The 25879-nt window shown below is 39.3% G+C and overlaps 1 long non-coding RNA gene across 3 annotated transcripts in view, besides 1 other annotated feature; it reads left to right on the plus strand.

The window, feature by feature from the left end:
- LOC110091777 (uncharacterized) overlaps window positions 1–25879 on the plus strand; it is a 43040-nt gene that overhangs the window by 11733 nt on the left and 5428 nt on the right. For 2 of the 3 annotated variants that reach the window (NR_146656.1, NR_146655.1), the window contains 2 exons: window positions 12948–13041; window positions 14296–19158. The exons of the other annotated variant lie outside the window; for it this stretch is intronic. This is a non-coding gene — a long non-coding RNA (uncharacterized LOC110091777). Of the gene's footprint in view, window positions 1–12947; window positions 13042–14295; window positions 19159–25879 lie in introns of those variants that run through there. 3 annotated transcript variants of the gene reach the window in all.
- Window positions 1–25879: part of a sequence alteration artifact (region identified as an assembly artifact by the Genome Reference Consortium. This region falsely duplicates sequence located at GRCh38 chr21:13654079-13799312) that runs on past both edges of the window.

The following is a 25879-nucleotide window of genomic DNA, read 5'->3' on the forward strand; positions in this document are numbered from 1 at the left end:
ATTAAACTTTCAAGATGTGAATGTCTTGAATTCAGATGTCAAACAGAAATGAATTTGAATCTGTTTCCCACCAGCCAAATGAGTGTTTGATGAAGATGACCATGATGATGATAATGACTTACATTTCTTAATGTTTCCCGTATGTATGTAGGACTTTTAAACTTGTTCCAGTACAGGTAGGGAAAGAAAATTCACATTAGTTTATTCACACACATATAGAGAGAGTTGGGGTATCTGCGTGCTGCCCAGGCTGGGCATTTGAGCCCATTCCTGGGCTCAAATAATCCTCCTGCCTAGGTCTCCCAAAGTGCTGGGATTACAGGCATGATCCACTGTGCCCTGCCCTAAATATATTTTATATATAGCAGGTAATAAAACAAGAACATGAGGATTACAATTTTTAATCACAGAGGGAAAGATTTTGTGAGAATAACATAATTTCATATTCAAACAGCAAGTCTTTAGCTAATTCTTTGATTAAAGTATTGACAAAACCATTTTGAAAAATGTTTCTGAGGCACTTTTACCTGTGAAGTTTTGAAAGATCTACACTTTTTTTTTTTTTAATGTTTTTTTTTTTTATTATACTCTTAAGTTTTAGGGAACATGTGCACATTGTGCAGGTTAGTTACATATGTATACATGTGCCATGCTGGTGCGCTGCACCCACTAACATGTCATCTAGCATTAGGTATATCTCCCAATGCTATCCCTCCCCCCTCCCCCGACCCCACCACAGTCCCCAGAGTGTGATATTCCCCTTCCTGTGTCCATGTGATCTCATTGTTCAATTCCCACCTATGAGTGAGAATATGCGGTGTTTGGTTTTTTGTTCTTGCGATAGTTTACTGAGAATGATGGTTTCCAATTTCATCCATGTCCCTACAAAGGACATGAACTCATCATCATTTTTTATGGCTGCATAGTATTCCATGGTGTATATGTGCCACATTTTCTTAATCCAGTCTATCATTGTTGGACATTTGGGTTGGTTCCAAGTCTTTGCTATTGTGAATAGTGCCACAATAAACATACGTGTGCATGTGTCTTTATAGCAGCATGATTTATAGTCCTTTGGGTATATACCCAGTAATGGGATGGCTGGGTCAAATGGTATTTCTAGTTCTAGATCCCTGAGGAAAAAAAAAAAAAAAAAAAAAAAAAAAAAAGAGAATAGGCACAGAAGTGAATTTGCCTTGTAAACTTGACTTCTGAGCTGCATAAATATTTTACGTAATTACAAAACAAAAAATAAAAAAGCAATTTTTACAAATCTTGTGTGTTCAGTTAGGAGCACACCTTCACAGAGAGGAACTCTTCCCAATGGCTTTAAGGCACAATTGTTGTTGTTTTTAAAAATATCTTAAATAAATTTTTATTTTTATAGATTTAGAGGGTACAAGTGCAGGATTGTTACATGGATAAATTGTGTGGTAGTGAAATCTGGGGCTTTTAGAAGACACAGTAATTTGACTCTCCATCCCTAGTGCACAAAAAAGAATTAAACAATTTCCAGTATTCAGGATCCAAATGAAGTTCATACAGTGATTGTTTGAAATAACTTTTAAGTCTCTTATAATCCATATTTCCACATTTCTTTCTTTCTTTTTTTAATTTATACATTTTTCTGCTTATTGAAGAAAACTAGTTATCCTGTAGTTTTTCCTACAGTCTGAATTTTGCTGTTGCATCACCATAATATAGAAATAAAAATGATGTATGATATTTATGAGCTAATTGGAAATGTGAACATAGACTGGTTATTTAATGATATTAAGAAATTATTGTTTATTTTGTCAGGTGAGACTATACTGTGGTCTTATTAAAATGAGATATATACTGAAGAAAAAAAAAAAAAAAAGAAAGATCTACACTTGGTAAATTTAGCATCTTTTAATTTTTCTTCCCCTACAGTAATTACAAAATTCTGGAGGGGGAAAAATGTAATATTCTCCAGGAGTGAGAATGGAAGACAATACTTTGAGCTATACTAGACATAATCATTTTTGTACATGCACTTTCAGAAGAGGTCCCATGCTGTGGACTGAACTTGAAACGAAATACAGTAATTGTCTCTGGCATTAAATACCCATAGGCATATTTTTACAAGAACATACATTAGTATATGCCTGCTAGATACATAACAATGTGTGAGTATATTTTAAGAGAATCTTAATGTGACTAACAAATAGCAATCAAATTGTTCACAATTTCAGGCTCAAAATTGAAAAGAAGAGGAATTTTTTTTACTAAAAAATTATATACACAGAAAGAGTGATTCAAAGTTGAGCATTAATGCAAATTAGGATGAAATACGAGAAGTAATCCTTGCCAACCATCTGCCTAGCTTCTCCCCACTTCTACCCTTCCCTAGCAGGGGTGAGCTATTTTACCTCCTGGGGAGATGGGAAATGACAGAGAGTGAGAGGCTAATCAGAAGTTTCAAGCACCCCCTTCTCTAAAAGCAGGAGGCTGTTGGTGAGTACTGGAATTTTGTTTTTCTAATTTGGTCTTGAGGTTTCTCTCTGGAAAATGGCTGTGAATTCTAACCCTGCACTGAAAGGGCTCCAGTATTTGGGTCATGGATGTCTACAGTGACTTCTTTATCCTAGTGGATGGCCTAATGCCTAAGTGTTGCCTAGTGCCTAAGCGTCCAACCCATGACCAGGTGTCCCACTCACAGGAAACATGCTTATACCAGCAGGCACCCTCGTGGCTCTTGTCTGACCTATGTCCAGTTTATTTCTACCAAGATATCCATTGTCTAGGAGAGCTTTCCCTTGGAAAGAAACTAGGTTCAGGTGTGTCAGTCAGGTGAGATGCAGAGGAGGCGATGCAACAAAAACCACACAATAATAGGAGGAGTTTATTACTTACAGATTAGAGAAAAGGGCAGCACTCCTTGCAGAGCTGATGGGAAAGCAGAGCCATTCCAGATATACATGCTCTACCAGAACCACAAAGTGCAGAGCAAAAGAGAGAGTGAGGGACCTGTGTGCTAAAGCTTTTATTGGAGTCCAGGGTATTATTAGGTGGGTTTCCATGGGAGTTCTAATTTGCGAGTTTAAAGCAAGCTGTTCCAAGTCCTATGTGGCCACGCTGTTACTGAGAGGTTGTCGCTGCAGCATATCTGTACAGTCTATGGGGGATGGAGGAGTCAGTGGGGTAAGCCAATAGGTGGTACCTAACTGTCCCTTAGGGAAGGTGGTCAACAGCAGACAATTGTATAAGGGAGATATCTGGATTGACCATATTAAGGAACTGGGATGAAATAGAGAACTGGAAATTGTGCCAAGGGTGACTAAACCATGTTTCTTGTATGAGAAAGTCCAACTTATATTCAAAATGAATGCCAAGGCAATATAAAATTACAGGAATTCACTACCATGCACCCCCATGCTCCTGAATTTTCAAGTCCAGACTCCCTATATGTAGCTGATAATATGGGTGCCAAGTAATCTGGAAATTCCTGGAATTTCTGCTGCTAATTGGAAATCCCAGCCCATTTCTTTCAAGGTAATCTGTCTTTGGGTCCAAAGTCAGCATTTTATGACACTTAGGTGCTCTCATCAAAGGTGTGTGTATGAAATGGCTTAAGGAAAAAATAGACACAGAACAGCTTGCCTTTGCCCTGTAGAGCTCTCAGGTAGGTTCAACCCATCCTGGGAATTGGAGTGATTTCAGATACTCTGAATGCCTTTGGTTCCCAAACTGCCATGGGCTTGCTGGTGGAACAAAAACAGACCTTGATACCCTTACTATGAATTATATATATGATTGGCTAACTGAAAGCAAAACCATAATGGAACATGACTGCAGACACGTATATATTCTCCAGGGGTTCCATGTTTTGTTGGGGAAAACATATCTCACCAGGTGAATGGCCTCAATGGCTGAAGGCAGCATGAACCCTAAACTCTTAGATACTTGGATAATTCATTGGGAACAACAACAGACAGAGTTGAAGCTAGTCTTTAAGAATATTCCCTACAAGCCAGCACAGGCAAAAATCTTTCAGGTATAAAATTCTCTTCTTTCTTACTGTAGTGTATCTTTGGCAACATGGGTATACAGACTATGGAAAGCTTAAGAATGTAAGTTACATTTTAGTAGCTCTGTTGGTGGAATATATATGTGTCCAAAGAGCTTTCTTAATTGGATGTGGGCTTACCCTGTTCTACTTTAGTCCAGATTCCTTGTTATTAAGCTTTTTATTGCTGCAGCATATTCTCTAAATATAATTTACTCCTGATAATAATTAATCAACATTACAGAAGAAAGCTATAAATATAAGGTGATAATATAAAATATATATTTATATGTCATATATTACATAGTAAATAAAATACATGTTAAATCAAAATAAAATAGTATTATAGGCTAAAATATATATGTACACATAAACATTTAGTGTAAATGTGCATATAAAAGGAGAAAAAAGGAAATACATTAAGATGATAATACTGTAGGTAGGTAGGGAGATTTTGGTAGTTTACTTTTTCACATATTCCAAAATATTTAATTACTATTTTATAACTTACATAAATTGTAGAATAACTTATCTTGTTTAGTAACAGCATAGAGAGGGGTAAAACTGGCAGAAATGGATATGTTTGATCAATGTTGATCCTTCAAACTACAGTGATCCACTTCTGAGAACAGGGACTCATATTTAATGAGGGAGTAAGCCAGGTTCTTACAGAGCGTGAGATTCAGCTTCTCCTGTCATGAGATGGGGTCAGGCTCTGGGCCAGGAGAGCAATGGCCAGCTTTGGAAGCTATATCTCAGGTCACATTCAAAAGCACACATTTCCAACTCTTTTCCCAACGCTGCTTTTGTCACATTAGAATGAAATTTGCCCTCTGTGTTGAAATATTCTATAAAAAACACAATCTTGCTTAAGTTAAAATTTAAAGTTAGCTTGTCTGACAGCTGGGATGTAAAGAGACAGTGAAAGGATTCTGACTTTTGGCATTGTCAGCAGTTTCCCTTGAGAGTGGAGCCCTGTCTTTCTGCAACCTGCAGCTCTCGCTTTCCTGCTGTGACTGAGCCAGTGGGATCGTCGGCCAGGAGAGGGCGCCTCACTCAGTGAGACATAAATCCAACGCACCCTATGAGGGCACTAGGAAGGTGAAACGCAATCCTCACCTACACTTGCTCTGCTCTCTGCCGTTTCAGCATTCCACCTTAGGGCGTCAGGCTTAACTTTGCAGGTGTTAAATCTCCGTGTGTCCATGAAACACTTCAAGTACTATTTCAGCAGCTTGGAGAAATGCCAAACACAAGTCAGGAAGTTATCTCCGTCAGAGGCTTGCCGCCTCACCCCTGCATGGCTCTCAGAGAAAGCTTCCTTTCTGTAAGACACATTCCAATCATCACACTGTGGCTAAAAGGCTAAATATAGGAGAGACATTTGCCAAGATATAGCAAAGCCGATGTTGGTTTGCCTAGGCAATTTGATAAATGATGATTGTGTGCAGGTGGTGCCTAAATAGACCATAGACTACATATTAAGATAACTTATGAGGTCTGCTGGAGAGAATGGGAAAGTGGGTGTGTGTGGATGTTTGGCACAGCCTGGGGCTATGGCTATAAGAACCTGAGTCTAGGATTTGCCATAGAATATTCTGTGAGCAAAAAAGACACCTACTTCTCAGTTATAATCCTCATAAGAATTTTTATAATATTTTTTAAGCTGTGCAATCCACAGCTGTGTAACTGAGAAAAATCACTTAACCTGTCTGAACCTAGGTTTCCTCAAATATATTCAGTCTGCACTCCCAGGACCTCACTTTAAGAGAAACCTGAATCTCTTGAGCACGAGCATGTGGATGGGTGTTATTCCCTTCCTGCACACCTTCTGTGCTTCAAAGAGAGAACTTATGTAACCTTTTTCCTCATGTATCCCTGCTTTGAAACCTGTAAATTTCTATCTTTCTCTGCCCCTTTCTGACTTCTTTTATTATTATTTTCAACCTCATCGATTTCTTCAAATTACTTTCCATCCACTAAATATTTCTAATGAGCCCTGTACATTTTTCTGTACCACTGTGGAAAAAAAGTAAAATAATTTCTGTCTTAACAAAGGATTGCCGCACCCATCTGGCATTAAAAGGAAGAAGAAAAAGCGGGACACATTAAAAACAATAAGCGTTGATTTCTCTGGCTGTACCTACAGACCTGTTACTGTGAGGCCTTTAATCCATCTTCACCGCCGCTTTCTTCCCTTGCTTTGTCTTTTAAAGTTTCAGGGGACTGTCACAAACAGGGTCTTACTCAGGGCCTCCTGCTGCTGCTCTGTGGCCTTGTTGAGCCCGTGGGGCTGGTTCCTGTGGCTCCTCCTGGCCAGTTGTCCACCGCAGGTGCCATGGATCCAAGAATTACCTCTGCTGGGCACCTCCCTCCCACACAATGGCACCCTGCTTCCAGGACATGCTGAGTCCTATCTCAAGGCATTCTTGGTCTTCCCTCAATGTTGCAGAGTAATATTATTTTATCTAGAACATTCCTGTGTTGAAGCTCAGTAAATGTCAGCACAAGTAGGCAAAAGTGTATTGCTTTGGGTGGTAAACTTTCTCCATGCTCTCCCCGGACCCCTTCTTATCCACTTTACCAGCCATGTGAATGCATCCTATAGCTTCTCTGTGCTTTGTTCCAAATGGCCTGCCCCTGTGACCTTCTTCAGAGGCTGACCATGGGCCAGTCCCTCCCTCCCAGAGAGAGCCTGGAATGCCTGGTAGTGTAGTTCTAGGGAAGCCTATAGCCAATGACTGTGCAAGATTCTGAAAGCCTGACTCCCTTTCCTCAAAATGGGGCAAATTCTGACATAATTTATGGTCTAGAGCTCCCCAAAGATCTGGCTAAGGCCAGGGAGTTGGCTAAAATTGTGCCTTTCTCTGTTCTTCATTTCCTTTTCTCTTGTGTTCTTCTCCTGGCCCTTAATAAATACCCTGTTCATGATCTGTGTCTCAGAGTTGGCTTCTGGAGGTCCAGCCTTAGGTATTTGGTTAGGAGTGCAAGGATGATTTTTGGAGGCAGATTCTGAGGATGGGATTCTAGAGTTAAGTCACCAGCTAAGTGGCAATAAATACCCCATCACAGGGGGTATGTGGAGCCCAGAGGGGCCCTGACACACTAGAGCATTGCAGTTGCTAAAACTTTTACCTGGAGCGAATTAAGATGATGTCATGGGTTGAATTATGTAACCTCAAAAGATGTTGAATTTCACCCCCAGTACCTGGGAATGTGATATTACTGGGAAATAAGATATTTGCAGATAATCCAACTAGAATGAGATCATTAGGGTGGGCCCTAATTCAATATCACTGTTGACCTCACAAAAAAAGTGAAATTTGAACATGGAGACATACATGCTTAGAGGAAAGATGGTGTGAAGACACAGGGCATCCACAAGAACAATTTGAGGCCAACAGGGAGGTCATGGAACAGATTCTTCCCTACGGTTCTCAGAACCAACCTTGCCGACACCTTGATTTTGGACTTCTAGTCTCCAGAACTGTGAGATAATAAATTCCTCATGTTCTATGCCACCCAATTTATTGTATTTTGTTATAGAAGCCCTAGGAAACTAATACAGAAGGGATTCTGACAGAACAGGTATGCTAGATTGTGCAATTTTCTTTGGCTTTTGATGGTACAAGGTAAATGGTCATTACAAAGGCTGTGGATGGGTTCCATGATAAATAGACTCCAGTTGGTCAGCATAAGGCAAAGTGAGAAAGTCAAAAAGTCCCTTGGCAGCTCTTAAACAAACCCCCTTTTTCTATAGCCAAGGGAGACCATGCTGAAGACCAGGCCAGGACCAACTATAAGAACAGTGGACCTTTGGTGGCTCAGGCCTGTAATCCCGGCACTTTGGGAGGCCGAGGCAGATGGATCACCTGAGGTCGGGAGTTCAAGACCAGCCTGAGCAACATGGAGAAACCCCATCTCTACTAAAAATACAAAATTAGCCAGGCATGGTGGCATATGCCTGTAATCCTAGTTACTCAGGAGGCTGAGGCAGGAGAATCACTTGAACCCAGGAGGCAGAGGTTGCAGAGAGCTGAGATCACGCCATTGCACTCCAGCCTGGGCAACAAGAGCAAGACTCCATCTCAAAACAAAACAAAACAAAAACAAAACAGTGGACCTTCAGGGACACCCAGTTTACATCCTCAGCAATCCCATGCAACAGCCAGGAACTTGGTAAGGAAGAAATGGCTTCTTAAGACTTGGAATCAGAAAATGTGAATAGATGTCATTGATAAATGTGAAACTGCAGCTGTCCCTGAATCCTCTGGGCCTGCAGAATGGGCCCACATCTTCTTTCTAGAGGGCAGAGCTCTCTTGCTTGAAGATTGGAAGCAAGTGTACAAATGTAAGCAGAGAAGCCTAACAAGAGATTAATTTTATGGCTTATATCTTTATTAGAACTTAAATCCAATATGTTTATTAGACCTTACAGTTCTGTCTGAGAGAAAAGAGGGATATGTTAAAGTCCTCACTCCACAAGATTTGTAACCATAGGCATAAAACCTTTAAAGGATATACTTTATGGCAGTGCATTCCAAATTTACACGTAAAACAGATTTCTGCTATTGCATTTCAAATTCAGACATAAAACAGATTTCCAACTTCTTTCACCTGTTGGGCTGGTCCCATGTCATATACTCAATGTGCAGTACTCACTTCTTTGAGCCTCAGTAACATGTGAGTAGAAATGGGATCATTGTAATAAATCTACTTGCATCAACATATGTTCCTTGTCTCATAACAGCCATTTATCCCCAACCTTAATTAAATATTTCTGAGGGGTAACTAAAGAATACTGGATTGCTGTTGGTTTCAGATGAAATCTGTGCAGAGTCTGTGCCATGAAGGGCTCTGCCTATATTTTGGTTACAAAAGTTATCTTATTTTGGCAGGGTGCAATGGCTCATACTTATAATCCCAGCACTTTGGGAGGCAGAGGTAGGAGAACTGCTTGAGCCCAAGAGTTTGAGACCAGCCTAGGAAACATAGAGAGATCCCATTTCTACAAAAAAAAATTAATTAAAAAAATTTTATAAATTTGTAAAGCTCTTTGTGCATATATTGCCTGATGTCATATTCTCCTCAAGCAGCCCCTGAGATGAGGAGTCATGTGGGAGTAATTTGTTAACAAGGTGATCTCAAAGGAAGACAGGGAAGGAGAAGGGAAAGAAGGATATGGAAAAGAGAGAACCCAAGAAAGTGTGTGATTTTGTCAAAGTCCAGCTTCAGCCTCATCCAACTTGAGGCCAGGGAGTCAGATTGTCAGACACTTGGACCAGTCAGTCATTGCCTAAGAACTGCACAGAGGGTTAAAGCTCCCCTCTCCCAGCTCCATGCAGAGATCCTTAAAGACAGTCCCAGTTGCGGCCGGGTCTGGTGGCTCATGCCTGTTATCCCAGCACTTTGGAAGGCTGAGGCAGGCGGATCAAGAGGTCAGGAGTTCGAGACCAGCCTGGCCAATATAGTGAAACCTCATCTCCACTAAAAATACAAAAATTAGCCAGGTTTGGTGGCAGGTGCCTGTAATCCCAGCTACTCAGGAGGCTGAAGCAGGAGGATTGCTTGAACCCAGGAGGCAGAGGTTGCAGTAAGCTGAGATCATGCCACTGCATTCCAGCCTGGGTTACAGAGGAAGACTCAGTCTCAAAAAAAAAAAAAAGTCTCAGTTGCAGGCCTTCGGAAGCAAAGCACAAAGCAGTTGGAAGAGGCTTACAGAAAGAGCAAAAGAATGTGGGGTATCTGTGTGTGCTGTCAACAGTGCTATTACTGTGAATGAATATCTGTGTCCCCCCAAAATTCATATATTGAAGCCTAACCCCCAAGTTGATGATATTTGGAGTTGGGGCCTTGGGGAGGTGATTAGGTCATGAGTGTGGAGCCCTCATAGGTGTGATTCCTGCCCTTATAAGAAAAGATGATCTCTCTCTCCGCCATCTAAGGATACAAGAAGACAGCATCTGCAAACCAGGAAGGGGGTCTTCACCAGTCACAGTCTGCTGACACCCTGACCCTGGACTATCCTAGGCTCCAGAACTCCAGAAATCAATCTCTGTTGTTTAAATCGCTCAGTCTATGATATCTTGTTATAGCAGCCCAAACTGACTAACACAATTATACATGTCAAAATCCTTTCTAATCTGTGGATCTGGGCTTTGCAACTTTGCATGTCTCACAGCCAGCAGAGGATTCTATTATTAATGGTAATCCATGTCAAATTTAATACTATAAGAATTTTTCATAAAATCAATTTGTTTTTAACCTTTTGGCTATCAAACTAGTTGTAATTTGAAATCCAAGACAATTAAATCTTTGTAAAATGTGGGTCTTTTTGTAAGATGACTTTAACCACAGAGAAAATGTAAAATTTTAGGAAGGGTAAGACATGTAGTTAGCACTGAGATTACTATGTGAGGCCTAATGTTATCTATGTGTAAGGCAATCATCAGTGTTACATTTCATTAGAAAGATGGCTTTTAAAAAACAACTAGCGCCAAGGTGGGCAGATCACCTGAGGTCAGGAGTTCAAGACCGGCTTGCCCAACATGGTGAAACCCCATCTCTATTAAAAATACAAAAAAATTAGCTGGGTGTGGTGGCAGATGCCTGTAATCCCAGCTACTTGGGAGGCTGAGGCAGGAGACTCGCTTGAACCCAGAAGGCAGAGGTTGCAGTGAGCCGAGATTGCTCGACTGTACTCCAGCCTGGGTGACAAGAGTGAAACTCTGTTAAAAAACAAAAAAAAGAAAAAAGAAAACTAGCCAGCTTCACAATGGAGGCAGTTCCATAATTTGTTGGGATTTTGGAATGGCAGTGAGCTACATATCTTTTCTTTCATGTTCTAACATATAGAAAACAAACTAAGTCTTTGTATATTAGCTAACTCAGCAGAACAGTCTGTGGGAGATTATATTGATCTTGAATACACAGTGCACATGTATTGGATATTGATGCATAATTTGGGTCTAATTTCTTCTCGTATCTAAATACTCGTAAACATTTAGAATGGTTTAAATGTACAGGCTCAGAATGACTTTAATAGGACCTTTAAAATTTATATTTATATATTTAAATAACTGCTGATGGCACTGTTGTTTATAATATTAGGTTTCTTGCTGACCTCTCAGAATTTTCCTTAGAGCCTGAGACAGGCCGACTGGTTGGTTCCCTATCTTAAGATTGTCTGAAGGAAAAGGATAAAAGCCCCTCAACTCAAACTCTAGCTTGTCTAACTCTCAGCCAATCAGCAATAAAAGACCAAGGAAGCTATTAATTGCAAATTTCTATTTCAGGGGGCTAGAGGCTTTCCCAGAGTCCCATATGTGGAGTCAGACTTAAACTCCAACCTAAAGTTATCTTTTCCTCATTTCAACACTAAAGTTCATGCCCAGGGGTGGAGATTTAAAATTCTAATGCTACATGCAATGTATGAAGAAACATGTTGAGCCATTGTGCAGGTGCTAGCAAAACTCTCCCTATACATTCCCTGAGGGAATCCTTCCCTATGGAAAGACCCTATACCTAACCGAACCACACAGTATCTTTGGGGAACAGCCCACTCCTTTTTGCTCTCTCATGGCTGGCTCCCTGAGAGGTAATAAACTCTCTTCATTGCTGCCTCTGGTGATCTCTCTTGATTTCTATCCTGAGAAATCACAAGATCTCAGGGCACTGGTAAGAAGCTTGTCACAGATTCTTTGAATTTCCTCAATGGTTCTGAAACAGGAGTGTTCCCTTGACCCCTTTGCAGGACTTGTGACATGAGTGACTTGTTTACTTGTTTACCATGCTGAATCCCTTATGGAAGGAAGCACATGAGTGGATGGGTGTGGGAACCAGAGCAAATGAATGTGGAACTGGCCTGTGGCTCCTCTCCGGCGGGAGCAAGCTTTGTGTGGGTTCTGCAGCAGTGTCAAAGTGTGTTACAATAGTCTTTTAGCTCTGCGGTCTGGGAGGGGCTGTCTGCGACCCCCAGAGCCCCAGAGGGCATGTGTTACAATCAGTGCTCCTTTAACATTTGCTGTCTGTGGATGGCTAAGTGTTAACCAGCTCAGTGGAAGGTCAGGGTGACAGCCTTTTACACTTTGCTGTCTTGGTACCTGAGTTCTGATCCAGCGTCCAGGAAGAATCAGGTCACATGAACAAATTGAAGGTGGTGAATGTGGAGGACTTTATTGAGTGGTAAAAGTGGGCCTCAGTGGGAAAGGGAGCTGGAAAGGGGATGGAGTGGGAAGATAATCTTCCCCTGGAGCCCGGGTGTCTCCAGCTGAACTCCTCTCTGACCATAGTTTCTGACCTCCAGCTGCTTCTTCTCATCTCAATATCCAGACACTTCTCTCTTCTGTGTGTGTGTCCACTGAGTCTGGGGCTTGGGGTTCTTATGGGCACAGGATAGGGGGTGGTGTGGGGTGGGCCAAAAGGCAACAATCAGGTGGGAAAACAGGGATAGTTCTCACTTTGGGCTGAGGGTCCAAGCTTGTGGGTGGAGCCCTTGCCAAAGATCCTGCCCTTTTCTACCAGTATTTGCCTGCCTTCTGTCCATTTCAGTTCAAGACAGTTTGTGCAATTTGGAAACAGCCAGATCTAAACAGTGTAAAATCTGGATAGTCAGGCAGAATAAGGCTGGAAAAAATATATAATTATATAGAATAAAGCTGAAAAAATTCGCTGAGTAATACTCTGTGTGTGCACCTACATGCACATGTAACAAAGTGATAATTTCTATTTCCTTAGATGTTTCAAAATGTATCTTGAACATATGACAAATATTTAATGTTTTCTGGGTGACTACATTGAAGCCCACCACTCACTTGGGACAGAAAAGTCATTTTTTGGTGTGTGATTATACTTGCTATCTTATGGTCACAACTTTTAATACTACATAGAAGCATTAATATTTTTATTTTTCCTTTAGATCCTTCACTGAATTCAACCCAGTCTACTCAACAGTTCACCAAGAGTCTTGCTATCTCCAATTTCAGGATATGCTTTCCATCACCAATACCCAGGTTAATGGACACTCCTCAACCCTTTGTCAGTCCCTGCCCAGTGTTGCCTTTGAGACTGAACTCTGGACAGCCTTTCCATGTTCTCTTTTCTGTAAAAAGGAGACTTTTTATTTCTGGCAGCACTTGCCTAGGAGATAGCAAAGTTAAATGTTGTGTTTCATCACAATCAGTCTCAACTAACTAAAACTAATTAAACACTAGGGATTTTGAGTAACCCACCTACCCTCACTAGACCCTTTCTTTATCTAACTGAAGATGTTCATGATCAAGAAGCAAGAGGCTGTCTCACAGATCTCAGCCTTGTATGAAAGGTAGTTCTCAGTGCTTAATTAGCACCAGCAGCATGGCCCTACACTTCATAGCATTTAAAACCTTCAGTTTTGCCCTTAAGTCCACCTATGCAGTTGTCCCCTAATAAGCTCAGCTCAGCTCCAGGCCACCCCTGGCTCTGTGGCCCATGTTTTTTGTATTATTCTTTGTCATCTCTAATTAGCCTCTTCTGCCTCACCACTACTTAATTATTTATCCTTCTCAGAACTTCTGGCGTGTATTGTACTATATTTTACTTTTAAAATATGTTGCCAGTGTTCTCAGTTTGTCATTTATATGACATGTTCCATGACAAAGTACATCCCTAATACAAAGCCTTAAGCAATCTCATTAAGGACAGATTGCTGATATCTAATTTCTTTTCCCATTCCTAGAGGCAGTGGTCTTCAAAGTGTGGCCTCCAGACAGCAATATCAATATCATCTGGGAATTTGCTAGAAATGTAAATTCCCAAGTCCCAGCTCAAACTCAATGAATCAGAAACTCTGGGTGTGGGGCCCAGCAGTCCTTCAGGTGTTTCTAACCACATATTCAAATTTGACAATCATTTACTCAGGGTCTCACCCTTGGTAGTATCTTAATAAATGCCTGTTAGGTTGACTCTGATAAGTCTTTCTCTCAAGCCATCTTAAAAAGCATGGAATCCAAAAATTCCAGGAAGAAATGAGAAAAAATGTTACAAAGAATGAAGTAGGGATTTTAGGTTTATGAGCAATTAGAGGGAACCGAGTCTTCACAAAGAAACACAATATCCTGATTTCCTGTCTCATGCTTGATTTTCCTACATTGTCTCACCTCAGCTGCGTGATTCCATGTATCTCACTAACCCTTCTGTTTGCCTTCTGTAAGGTTACATGTAGATTCTGAGAAAATTCTTTTTCAACTTTCTATCTCTTATTCCCATTTCACTCTATGTCTTCACAGAAAATTATCACTGCAAAGCTGAGCGGTTTCTGGAGAATCTTGGCTCATTCACTGAATTCTTTGGGAAGGGCTGCTTCCCTTTGCACATCTTCACTAAACTTGGACCTTTTTGATGACTCTCATTTTTTATCACCACCATAGTCCTTAGATGTCCAGTGGAGCAGGGAAACTGATGGTTTTCTGCACAGGTTGCTCGGGGCAAAGATGGAAGTTGGAAGTAAGGAAAAGCATGGAGTTGGAATTGGATGCTGAATGCTGAAGCAAAAGAGTACTCAACGTCTCTATGGTTTTGCTTTGTGCTGGGCCTTCCTAAACCTTGTGAACACCTGATAAATGTTCATTTGATTATGTCAAGCTCTTTGGAGCAGTAGCTTTCAACCCTGATTAGGATGTCAGAATCCTTTGGAAGAATTTTTTAAAAATCTATGGGCATGGAACCCATCCATCAGTATTTTTAAAAATTTCCCAGGTGGTTTCCATGAGTAGCTAAGGTTGAGAACCGTGGTTTTGGATTTCCCACTTGATGATTTTAAACCATAACATCACTTTGCCTATTTTTCTAAATATTCCTCTTTCTACAGTCAGCTTTCAAAAGTCAGACTACAACTGAATCAAAGAATTATACAAGAAAGGGGAAACTGAGCCATCCTTCAGCAACTCCAGGAACAAATCAAGGTACATATAATGATGGGGTAGTAAATGCTAATACCGTCTATCTTCTTCCCTTGTATCTATCCCTGTTTTTGTTCCCCTCTTTCCACTCTGGCTTCCTATTCTCCCTTTGTGGCAAAATATCCACTATTCTTGAAGACAGCGAACCAGCAAACCTGCTAATATTAAAGCTTCAGTGACCCAATAGGTAGCTACACTTTGAGGAACATTTTCATTTCCAAAGAAATTATCTGAAGAGAAAAATGTCTAATTCAATGGGCTGAAATGCAAATTGTTATGTTTCAGGCTAGAAAGATATCTAACCCAAGGAACTTCCTTATCATGCTCTGGGAGACAGTAGGCTGCCTCATGGAAGGCCGTTATAGATGTCCAACTAAACATTGCAAAAAATAGAAGCATTGGCTTGGGACTGAGAAATGATATTCATTTGGTGCAAAAGTAATTGCGATTTTTGCCCTTGAAAATGATGGTTAAAACTGCAATGACTTTTGCATCAACCTATGGATTAGTAATTGATACACAAAGACATGACACATGAGAATACCAAGTGCACTGCTTGGCACATAGTAGACATTCAACAAATGCTTCTTGCTGACAACTTTTGCTTTCCTCCTCAATCACCCACTTTTTAGAATCCTTGAAAAAATCTTACAAATTTTTCAAATATTCAGGAAACTTAAATAACATCAGATTTAGAGAAGAATTATTGACTGTAGCCAATTTTTGGACCTATACATTTTTTAAACTATGTGATGGGAATCTCTTCATTTTTTAGAGCAAAATGGATGCATATCAATTACAAACCTTGCTAAATCATCCTTTCTATCTCTGAGGCAATAAAATTCATTATCCTGGTTAGTTTGAGGATATACTTAACCCATAAACACCAACAGCAAGTATAGATTCAGACATTTGTATCTATAATTTAGACAGTTTAAAATGCAATATTAAGTAATTCAAAAATTGTTCAAAGCTCAGTACCTTTTCACACATTAATACTTTGATTATCAACTTCCTTTTAAAGAGTGAGTAGAAAAGGTTAGTAAGTAGAAAAGAGTAAAAGAGGCCTTTCTTTCACAACTTGCCAAGACGTGCATTACTTATTTAAAATAAAAAAAAAATGCTGTTTGAAAAACAAGAAGGATGGCAAGAATGAAGCTCCTTCATGCAAGATACCTCTGACTACCCTCTAAAGACAGTTACTATGGCATGGTCATAGAATTACTGCAGGAAAAAATTTGTCCACTGAGGCTGCTTCCTCCAGAGGTAAGGTTTAACTTATGGTAACTTGCTATGGATCAACAGCTCAAGATGAAGTGTGTGGCTGGCAATTTAAGTGTAAAATTAGATTTCCAGTATAATCAGTCATCTGATAGCCCATCTAAATGTATTCTGCATTTGCACATTTAATTAATTATGTCTTAATTGAAAACATTTTGCTCATAATGATTGGTTCTAATTTTATTCCAAATTAAATTAGTAGGGGAGAAATTTAGTTTGGGAATTTATTGATTTATATATATATTAAAGAAAAAGTAAAAATAATGGATTTTCTCTTTTCTTCTTAAAAGGAAATATCTTTCTGCTCATTTAGAGGTGCAAAGGAAAACATTTAGAACTTTCCAGATGAATAAATTGCATTTCATCTGAATGAACATCTAACTTTGGAGATGGAGAGAACATTCTTTTGTATTGTTGTAGATATGCCTAGTATAATATTGGCATAATTAATTTTTCAGCTACAATGCAGATTCCTGGGTCAGTGCAAAAGACCTTGTTTATTTAGAAGTGATTATCTGAGAAAGTGGCTCATTAGTCTTAGATTCTTGGAATGCACAGTCTGGTCTAGAGATTAAAATAGCTATTTAAATTCCCTTTATGAAAATTGTGCCTGACAGGGCACTTCCATGTGCAGTGAGGTTTGTATTTGCACATCTAGAGCATCCAGGAAATCAGCAAAGGTGGGTTTTGTGTCTTTAGATATGCTACAGTTGATAAACCCTAAGATTCAGATATTAACTATTGGATAAGCTCTTGCATTTCCCATAACTTTAGCTTTGAAGCCATTCATTACCTTAATACTAAGGAAAGAATGTCAGAAAATCCAAAGAGAGAGAATTCTCAGTTATGATTTTTGGACATATAATTGGAAAGAAGTCAGATTTGGCTTTTACAATTAGTGCCATATAATGTCACACAAAGTATTTCCTGCAGTGTGCTCAAAGAGGTCAATTTGTGATTTATTTGCAAGTCATAGTTCTGAAATTACTGACTTGTGTGTGTAACAATTTAGCTTTAACTTGGGCACTTAATTTAGCATTAAATATAGCTCCTCTTCAATATTGACCCTTGCCCTGAACAAGATGTCATTTCATAAACCCAGTTAAACATGGTGCCTACTGTGGTTTACATACCAAGACAGATTAAATGTATTGTCCAGTTTCACAGATCAGCAATGCTTCTCTTCCTGTATCACTAGCTCATGATAATAACATAAGGGACCAGTCTGTGCCAGTGGATGGGCCAGAATTAAAAGAAGATAAATATTGATGTCCTGCCTGAAAGAAAACTGGGCACCCAAGGTGTCAGAGAGTTGTCTGATATACTGTGACATGAATGTCCCATATATATAAATTGCAGCCTTTTTAAAATAAGGTAGAATTGTTTGTGGAAGATTAAAAACTCTCTTTCTAAATTGTTGAATTAAAATATTTAGTTAAATAAATCACTGCTATTTTCATCAATGTTGGAGTTGTTTCTTCAAGTTTGTGTGTTTTCTCAATTAGAAAAAAAGTCTAATTTGTTTAAATAGTGAGAAGTCAACATTGAACTGTTGTCTACTCAATAGCCACAATTCCTTATTTCTTGTTCACAATGAATAAGAAATTTGTATTGTTGCAACAAGTTCACAGACAATGGATTCCTCTCTCAATCTGAGAGGATGAGCCATGGTTGATCTAGGCCATGAATATTGTGGTAGATTGTATTGTGTGTTCCTAATTCTTTGTTCTCTGGCCAGGTGCAGTGTCTCACGCCTGTAATCCTAGCACTTCAGGAAACTGAGGCAGGCAGATTGCCAGAGCTCAGGAGTTCGATACCGGCCTGGGCAACATGGCAAAACCCCTCTCTACTAAAAATACAAAAAATTAGCTGGGTATGCTGGTGTGCACCTGTAATCCCAGCTACTTGGGAGCCTGAGGTGTGAGAATCACTTGAACCCAGAAGGCGAAGAATGCAGTGAGCCAAGATTGTGCCACTGCACTCCAGCCTGGATGACAGAGCGAGACTCTGTCTGAGAAAAAAATAATTAAAACAGATGATTCTTGTTCCCTCCCCATCCTTACCTTTTTTTTAATGAGGAAAGAATATTTCCCAGTATCACTGACTTTGGGCTTGGCTATGTGACTGCTCTACCCAATAGAATTTGGTAGGTTAATAGTAATAGAAGTAACTAAGCAGAACTTTAAAGAAGTTTCTCCTCTTCAACTCTTGCTTATAAAGCATTATAAAAATCAATATATATAAAGCATTATAAAAATCAAATGCTCTAAGTAGTCTGTGTCCTTCAACATGGGTCCAGGAATGAGAGACACCTGGAGCACACCTGACTCTCATCTGTAGTCTAAGGTAGAACTGCGGCAACCAATTCGCAAAATTCATGAGCAAGGAGTAAATGCTTGCTGTTATCGGTCAGTAACTTCTTGTCATGTTTCTTAAGCATTATTGGAGCAAAAGCAAACTAATACAAACGTTAGTGTAATTCCTTTGCTTGTGATTGATTTAGAGATGAATATTTGTCCTGTTTCCAGGTAATACAATGTATTTAGGAAGAATGCCAAAGGAGGGAGCTTATTAGTAGGATTTTGACCTCTAATGAAAATGATGGCCAAATATATGAAATTTTTTCTTTCTTTGGTTTTTATTGTTTAAAGACATAATTATTTAAGTTGTGTTAGTTGTGTGTGATCTTATAACTGTGAGGAATTACATAGAATGAAAATGGAATGTGCTGTGGTGGCAGAACAGAAAGAAGTTGGGTGATTGACATTGTTGAGCTCTGCAGGAAATCTGTTAGTCTCCATTTCCGGAGGTCTTGCTATGTAGAAAAATTGGATGACTTTATTGCTTAAGTCACTATAAGAATGTTTTCTGTTACCTGCAACCCAATGCACCCAACTAATAAAGTATGTTTCTAGAAATACACTTGCCTGCACTCATTTTTAAGACACACAGACCACATACACATGGAGAGATATTTTTAAAGGTCTTGTACTACATAAATTGTACTATTTTTTAATTTAAAAATATGGGCCAGGTGCAGTGGCTCACACCTGTAATCCTAGCACTTTGGGAGGCCAAGGCAGGTGGATCACAAGGTCAGGAGATCAAGACCACCATGGCCAACATGGTGAAACCCCATCTCTACTAAAATACAAAAAACTAGCTGGGCATGGTGGTATGTGCCTGTAGTCCCAGGTACTTGGGAGGCTGAGGCAGGGGAATCACTTGAACCCTGGAGGCAGAGGTTGAAGTGAGCTGAGATCGTGCCGCTGCACTCCAGCCTGTTGACAGAGCGAGACTCTGTCTCAAAAAATAAAAATTAAAAAAAAGATAATGTGATTTTTTTATATTATAGCACATGTACAAGACTGAAATCTGTCTCATTTTTTAAAGTAACTGCCTAGTACTTTATGCATGAACATCCTTTGCCTTCAAATTGAATTTGAGGATCAACCTCAGCTATTTTCATAAAATAAATTTAAAAATATATAAAAAGATGAAAAATATGAGGGAAACATTAAGTGAAATGGAATTTGAATTCATAAGTTGTGATATCCATCTAAATGAGTCACCAAGAGTTAAAAGATGAAAAATGAAAACAAATACTCACGGAAATAATAGAAGAAAACTTTAAAAGGTAGAGAATAAACACATGCTGTAATGTCACTACCCACTCAGTGTTAAGTTAAATGGATTTGTTGAGAAGACTCCAAAAGCAGTTATAAATGTCGAGTATGTGTGTGCACATGTGTGTGTATATGTGTGCAACCCTATATAAAATATTTTAAAATCACTTTTATTGAAATATTGCATATGTACATCTAAGAACGAATTTTAAGCTTGATGAATTTTTACATTGTTGACACAGCCATTTAACTATCAGCTAAGAGAGGAAATAAAACATAACCAGCAACTCTCACCTCATTTTATATTCACTATCAATCCTTACTCTTTTTTTAATTTGAGACAGAGTCTCATTCTGTTGCTCAGGCTGGAGTGCAGTTGCATGATCTCAGCTCACTGCAACCTCTACACCCTGGGTTCAAGCAATTCTCATGCCTCAGCCTCCCAAGTAGCTAGGTTACAGGCACTCACCACCATGCCCAGCTAATTTTTGTAATTTTAGTAGAGACAGGGTTTTGCCATGTTGGCCAGGCTGGCCTTGAACTCCTGGCCTCAAGCAGTTTGCCCACCTCAGCCTCCTAAAGTGCTGGGATTACAGGAATGAGTTACTGTGCCTGGCCCATTCCTCTTTTTTAATACCCCAAAGGCAACTGATATCCTAATTTCTCACACAAGGGATTGGTTTTGCCTGGGTGTTGAACTTTATATAAAGGGACTATCAGTACATTATTTGCCATATTGATCTACGTTATTTTATGTAACAATAATGCATATTTATTCATTGTTCCATAGTATTCCATGTAGAAATAGATCACAATTTATTTGCTATTTCTTCTCTTAATAGATATATTTGGGTTGGCTTCTGTTATTGTTATGAATACGATGCTTTAAATATTCTTTTTCTAGTAAAAATATGTGCAGATTTATAGCTGAACAGAAAAAGCTTTGTCTTTTAACCTGGATATCTGGATTTTTTACTCTTGGTGAAAATAACTGCAATGACATTTATCATGTATGATTTAAAGTCAGGAAATGCCTCCTGGTAACCTACAGGGTCAGTTTTTCACTGATGGGTTACAACTGGCCTAATTGGTTTGACAAACCTAGCTTGATTACATGGACAAGGAGACATAAAAGGCTTGTGGAGAATTTCTCCTCGAAGCCCTCCTGAAAGCATGATTCCTAGCACAGAATCTTGGTGGTTGACACTGGAGACAGAATGCACACTCTGTGTCTGTGAATACTTGGAGCCCTGGGTAGCTTTCAACATGGGATGTCTTTCAGACTCCCAGTCCATGCCCGCACTCTCTTTCACTTGCTGCACCATATCCTTTGCCTTTAAATAAAAGCCCCATGTAAATATGTTCTATGGAATGTGGTGGTTCCTTTCAAACATCCAAACAGGAAGCTTTTCAGTATGTATACATTTCTATTGATAATACACCTAAGAATGAATTTGCTATTTGCCAGTTCATAAAAGTATATATATTTATATATTGAGCTTTAGACAAAATTTTCAAGTAAAATACAAAAAGAAATTTCTTGAACCATTAGAGAATAAGTTACTGACCTGATTTCCAGTTACCACCAAATATTTTGGGGTTTATTCCTTACAAACAGGTTTCTCCTACATGTTCACAACACAACTGTCAGCATTGGTTGTATTCCCACTAATACCCTGTTACTGTCTAATCCTCAGACCCCATTCAAGACCCTGGCACTCTACATTAAGCTACCCCTGTGTGTAGTTACCTTCTTCACTCTACTCTGACTCCAACACCTCATGCTTGGCCACCGTCATTCTTGGATGCCATCCCTGGGCTCTGATCTACTCCCTAGATTATCATCCATTTCACATAGACACTCTTCTCATCCTTCCTGGGTTAAACCCACATGGGTGCTCACCCCACTCTGCTCAGTGAGGCTCTGACACTCCAACCTTGCTGTATCACTGCGGTGATGCCCTTTTCATCTTGCTTGGGTTCTGCCACCACTTCTGTGTGGACTCCTTCTCCTGTTCTTTGGCTTTGATACCTGGCACCTTGGAGCCCTCCTATACAGATGCCCCTTTCAGTCTATTTACACCAGAAAATCCCACAGTGACTTGACTCTTCTACATGCAAATCCTTTTTATCCCATTCTGTGCCACTGCCTTACATGGGTGTTCTCTTCCCACTAGCCTGAGGGGTTTAGACACCAGGTGATGGATAATACTTCTGTCTGGATGCTCCCTCACCTTGTTTTGATTCTGACACCCCACGTGGGTCACCTACATGCATTGAAGCCCTTACTCAGTTGTGGCTTCAATCCAAATGAGGCAGCCTTCCTCTGTAGAAGGAGGAATTAACCATTTTTCCCTATTCTAAAAATTAATCATTTCCCCAAAGAGCACGGGTTTCTTTCATGGAGAAATAGTGTTTGGATACAAAGGTCTAGAGGCTAGGTGTTCTACTAGGGTGTCATTTCTTCTAGATTCTTTCACTTCACAAAGCTAAGAAATACATATGCATATACCAAGCAAAACACACCATAAGGGTAAAATGATGACTTTTTTGAGGTTGGAGGTCACTATCTCTCCATCCTGTCTTCCTTAGAGTATTTCCTTGAAATCTTAATAGGTCCAAATAACAGGTTTATGCTTTTGATTTTGCAGTGGAAGAATGGGGACTTTCTGACCCTTGGAAGTGTAAACAAATGCCTCCAAAACTTACTTGGGAGTTTTTCACAAGAGGACTATCTTAGGATGTAGCCCTTTGTCTCTTGAGGAGATGAGAAGTTATTCTTACTTCTGCTTTGCTAAATAAATTATGTGAAAGTCTGCCTAGACATTTTAGTCACTTTTGTAGTACCTACGTGCATAGAAATCTGACCATGTTCATGTAGTAATAAACTGTGTTCTCTTTTCTATGTTGGTTCAGAGAGGTCTTTGTTAGTGTTATTTTATTTCCAACAAACACACGGCCTATATTTCTGTATTGTTACTTTCTAGAGATGGATGACTTTGGATGGTCAAATATTGATAGAAAGGCACTAGTGAAACATAATTCAGAAAAAACACATTTACAGATTTGGTGACAAGAAATGAAGAAATTTTTCATGTTAAGCTCCAATTATCTCTGAAAGGTAGAAGGAAAGTCATTAGTTGAGAGTATACATGGCATTGGAGTTGGAAGTTTTGAGAAAAGTGGAGGCTTACAAAATTAAAATAGTTGTTTCCAATAAGATGAAATAGAACTGATTAAAGAACAAAGGAGACATGATTGCTGAGGAGTCTCTCAGATTAGTTCACGTTGATCACTGTAGTCTATTGTTTCACAATAACTCATTCCAAATCAAGCTGCATATTGGATTCACCTGGGATCTTTTAAGATATACCGATTTCTGGGTGCCACCTGCAGAGATTCTGTTGTAATCACTCAGGAGTCTGACATCAGCATCCAGATTTCAAAAGTTCCCCGAGTGATTCTAAAGCATCCTGAAGATCAAGAACCATTGACCCAGATAGAATGTTCATTGCCTTTATTGTTTTCCACAAAAACCTACCCATGTAAAGCATTTGTGAGGATATAAAAGTTTACTGAAAATTAGAAATTGAGAGTTGAATTGGCAAACAAATTTAGTCAAATTAAATTCTGAGTTTTAATGCTTTCCTATGGCCAACCCAAGAGTGTGGAACTTTCCTTGGGCCTTCACCCCATTGTCTCCAAACTCAAATCATTTCACTAACTCTTCTCCACCTTCCCAGTCTCTGCTTTCTGAATGCCACTTCCTAGTCTACCTGACTCTGGGAACTATCGGTTGGAGCAAAAGTAATTGCACTTTTTGCCATTAAAATTGATGTCGAAAACCACAAATTACTTTTGCACCAGCCTAATAAAACTTGTTACTCCATAACTCAGAGTGATTCAGCTCTCACTAACAACCTGGTGTTCTCCATTTTCCTTTAGCCTGGACTATAGCTATTCATCACTTTTGAGAATTTTTAAGAGGCAACGTTCTTGCATGTGATCTGGTTTATAGAACCAGGATAAAAGGTCAGTGTTGACTCCAAAGTTTCCCAGGCCCGGGATCTCCTCAGAAATATGTGGCAGAGACAGACCTGCAGGATAAAGACAAGATATGCAGTCTTTTCTCATTCACTCCATTGATAGCTAGTAACAGCCGACCATATCTCAGTTGAATGAAGTTAAAAAGATAGATAGACAAATAGATACAGTAGAGTGTAGTCCATATAATGGTTTAGTATACATAGGAAGTACACAAATACAGTAACATCTGGACAAACTAGAGGATGGGAGAAGAAGGGAATTGAGAGAGTATTGCAAGAAGTGAAGAACCCAGGGTTTGAGCTAGCCTCCTGAATCCACATGTATAGAGTTGTAGAATTGGAGTACTACAAAGGATGTCAGAAATCATCTAATCTAGTCACCCTTTGTTACAGACTAGAAAGTAGAAATCTCATAGCCTAGGAGTTGAACTGAATTGAAGAAAGTCCCATAACAAGTCAGGGGCAGCGCCAGGATTAAATTGGAATCGGGGTTCATTGATGACTGGCCCAGCGATACTCCCTCAACAGGTAACGAATTTCTAAGGTTCTATGAGCACAGCTACAGGAGGGATTAGGCCAGCAATAGGGTCGCTGGTGGCAGTAGAGGCCTAAACCTGCATGGCTTACACCTCTGTCTGCAAAGTGACTGACTCATTCCAGGCCTATCTGTGCACTCTGCAGTACCTCTGCTCAGAAGGTGCCAATGGGGGAAATGCTAGATAGATAATTTGGCTTGAGCATAGAGTGTGAGGGAAGGACACATACTGAAAATAGGAAGGAGAATGAGAAACCTGAATCAAGAACCAGCCTAACAAATATTAGGCCTTTGAATTATAAAGCAGGCATATTGTATGGCTTTAGAAAATTACAAGATCATAAAGATGAGCAAATAAGACTAGAAAATTATGACTTTGGGACCTTGTGTCTGAAGTAAATGGAGAGGCACTTTGGGGAGTGGCAGGCAATGAAAACACATCTACCACCTGAGATGACTCACAGAAATTCAAAACAGCCTCTTTTTTTTAAGTCCAATTCAAATATAGTCAAGTGAGGGAGGGTACATCATTTATTCTCAACTCACTGTGTTTAGTTTCTTAAAAGATGGCCGAATTGTAAAAAAAGCTTTTGAATGGGGCAGTTCTAGTGTCAGTTGTTCTCTCTTTTCCTTTTTTACTTACCCACTACTATAAACTACCATAGATACATTCTTTACATTCAGTTAGTTAGTTTTACGTTTCCCAATTTCCACATTTGTAATTATAGCCTAGGAAGCTTCTTTGCTTGGAGAAAGATGTTCTTATATTAAAACATAAAACTCTTCCCAAGCATCCACTAGTTCATCCAGTAAGCAATTTCATCATTACATACCAGAGGTCAGTATTGCACTATTAATTTACATGAGTGATTAATTTTTACTTTCCCAGTAATAAAGATGAGAAACAAAATACCAAAGATTATTACTATATTAGAGCTTTGGTGTTAGTTCCTTAAGCAAGTATCATCTGTGCAGGCATGCACAGATCATGAATGGCTTAACAAAAATACGAAAGAAAAAGAAAAAAGCCATCACAATGAAGGTGGCCTTTGTTCTTTAGGAAGACATTCATAACTCATTCCAGGCATATTAATTATGCAACTTTTACACAAAAGTTACTTTATATTGAGAAATGTTCACAACTAGCAGTATTAACAGACATGCTGGCAGTGAATTAAAAAGATAACAATAGTTTTTAAAGCCTCATTCAAATCTGCATATCTACAATAGTGTATCAATTTGGGATGGCCAAAGTTATAGATAATTTGGATAAATAAAATAGGGGCTCAGCAGTAAAATAATGACTGTATCTCCAGAAGCTTTAAGATTAATGAAAAGAAGAAAAGACTAAAGGCAGATCAAGCTGTCATGCTGACTACAGACATAGTAAAGGCTTTCCACAGAAAGAGAAAATAGATTAGTCT

This window comes from Homo sapiens, chromosome 21 (genome assembly GCF_000001405.40).
Source record: "Homo sapiens chromosome 21, GRCh38.p14 Primary Assembly".
Classification (NCBI taxonomy): domain Eukaryota; kingdom Metazoa; phylum Chordata; class Mammalia; order Primates; family Hominidae; genus Homo; species Homo sapiens.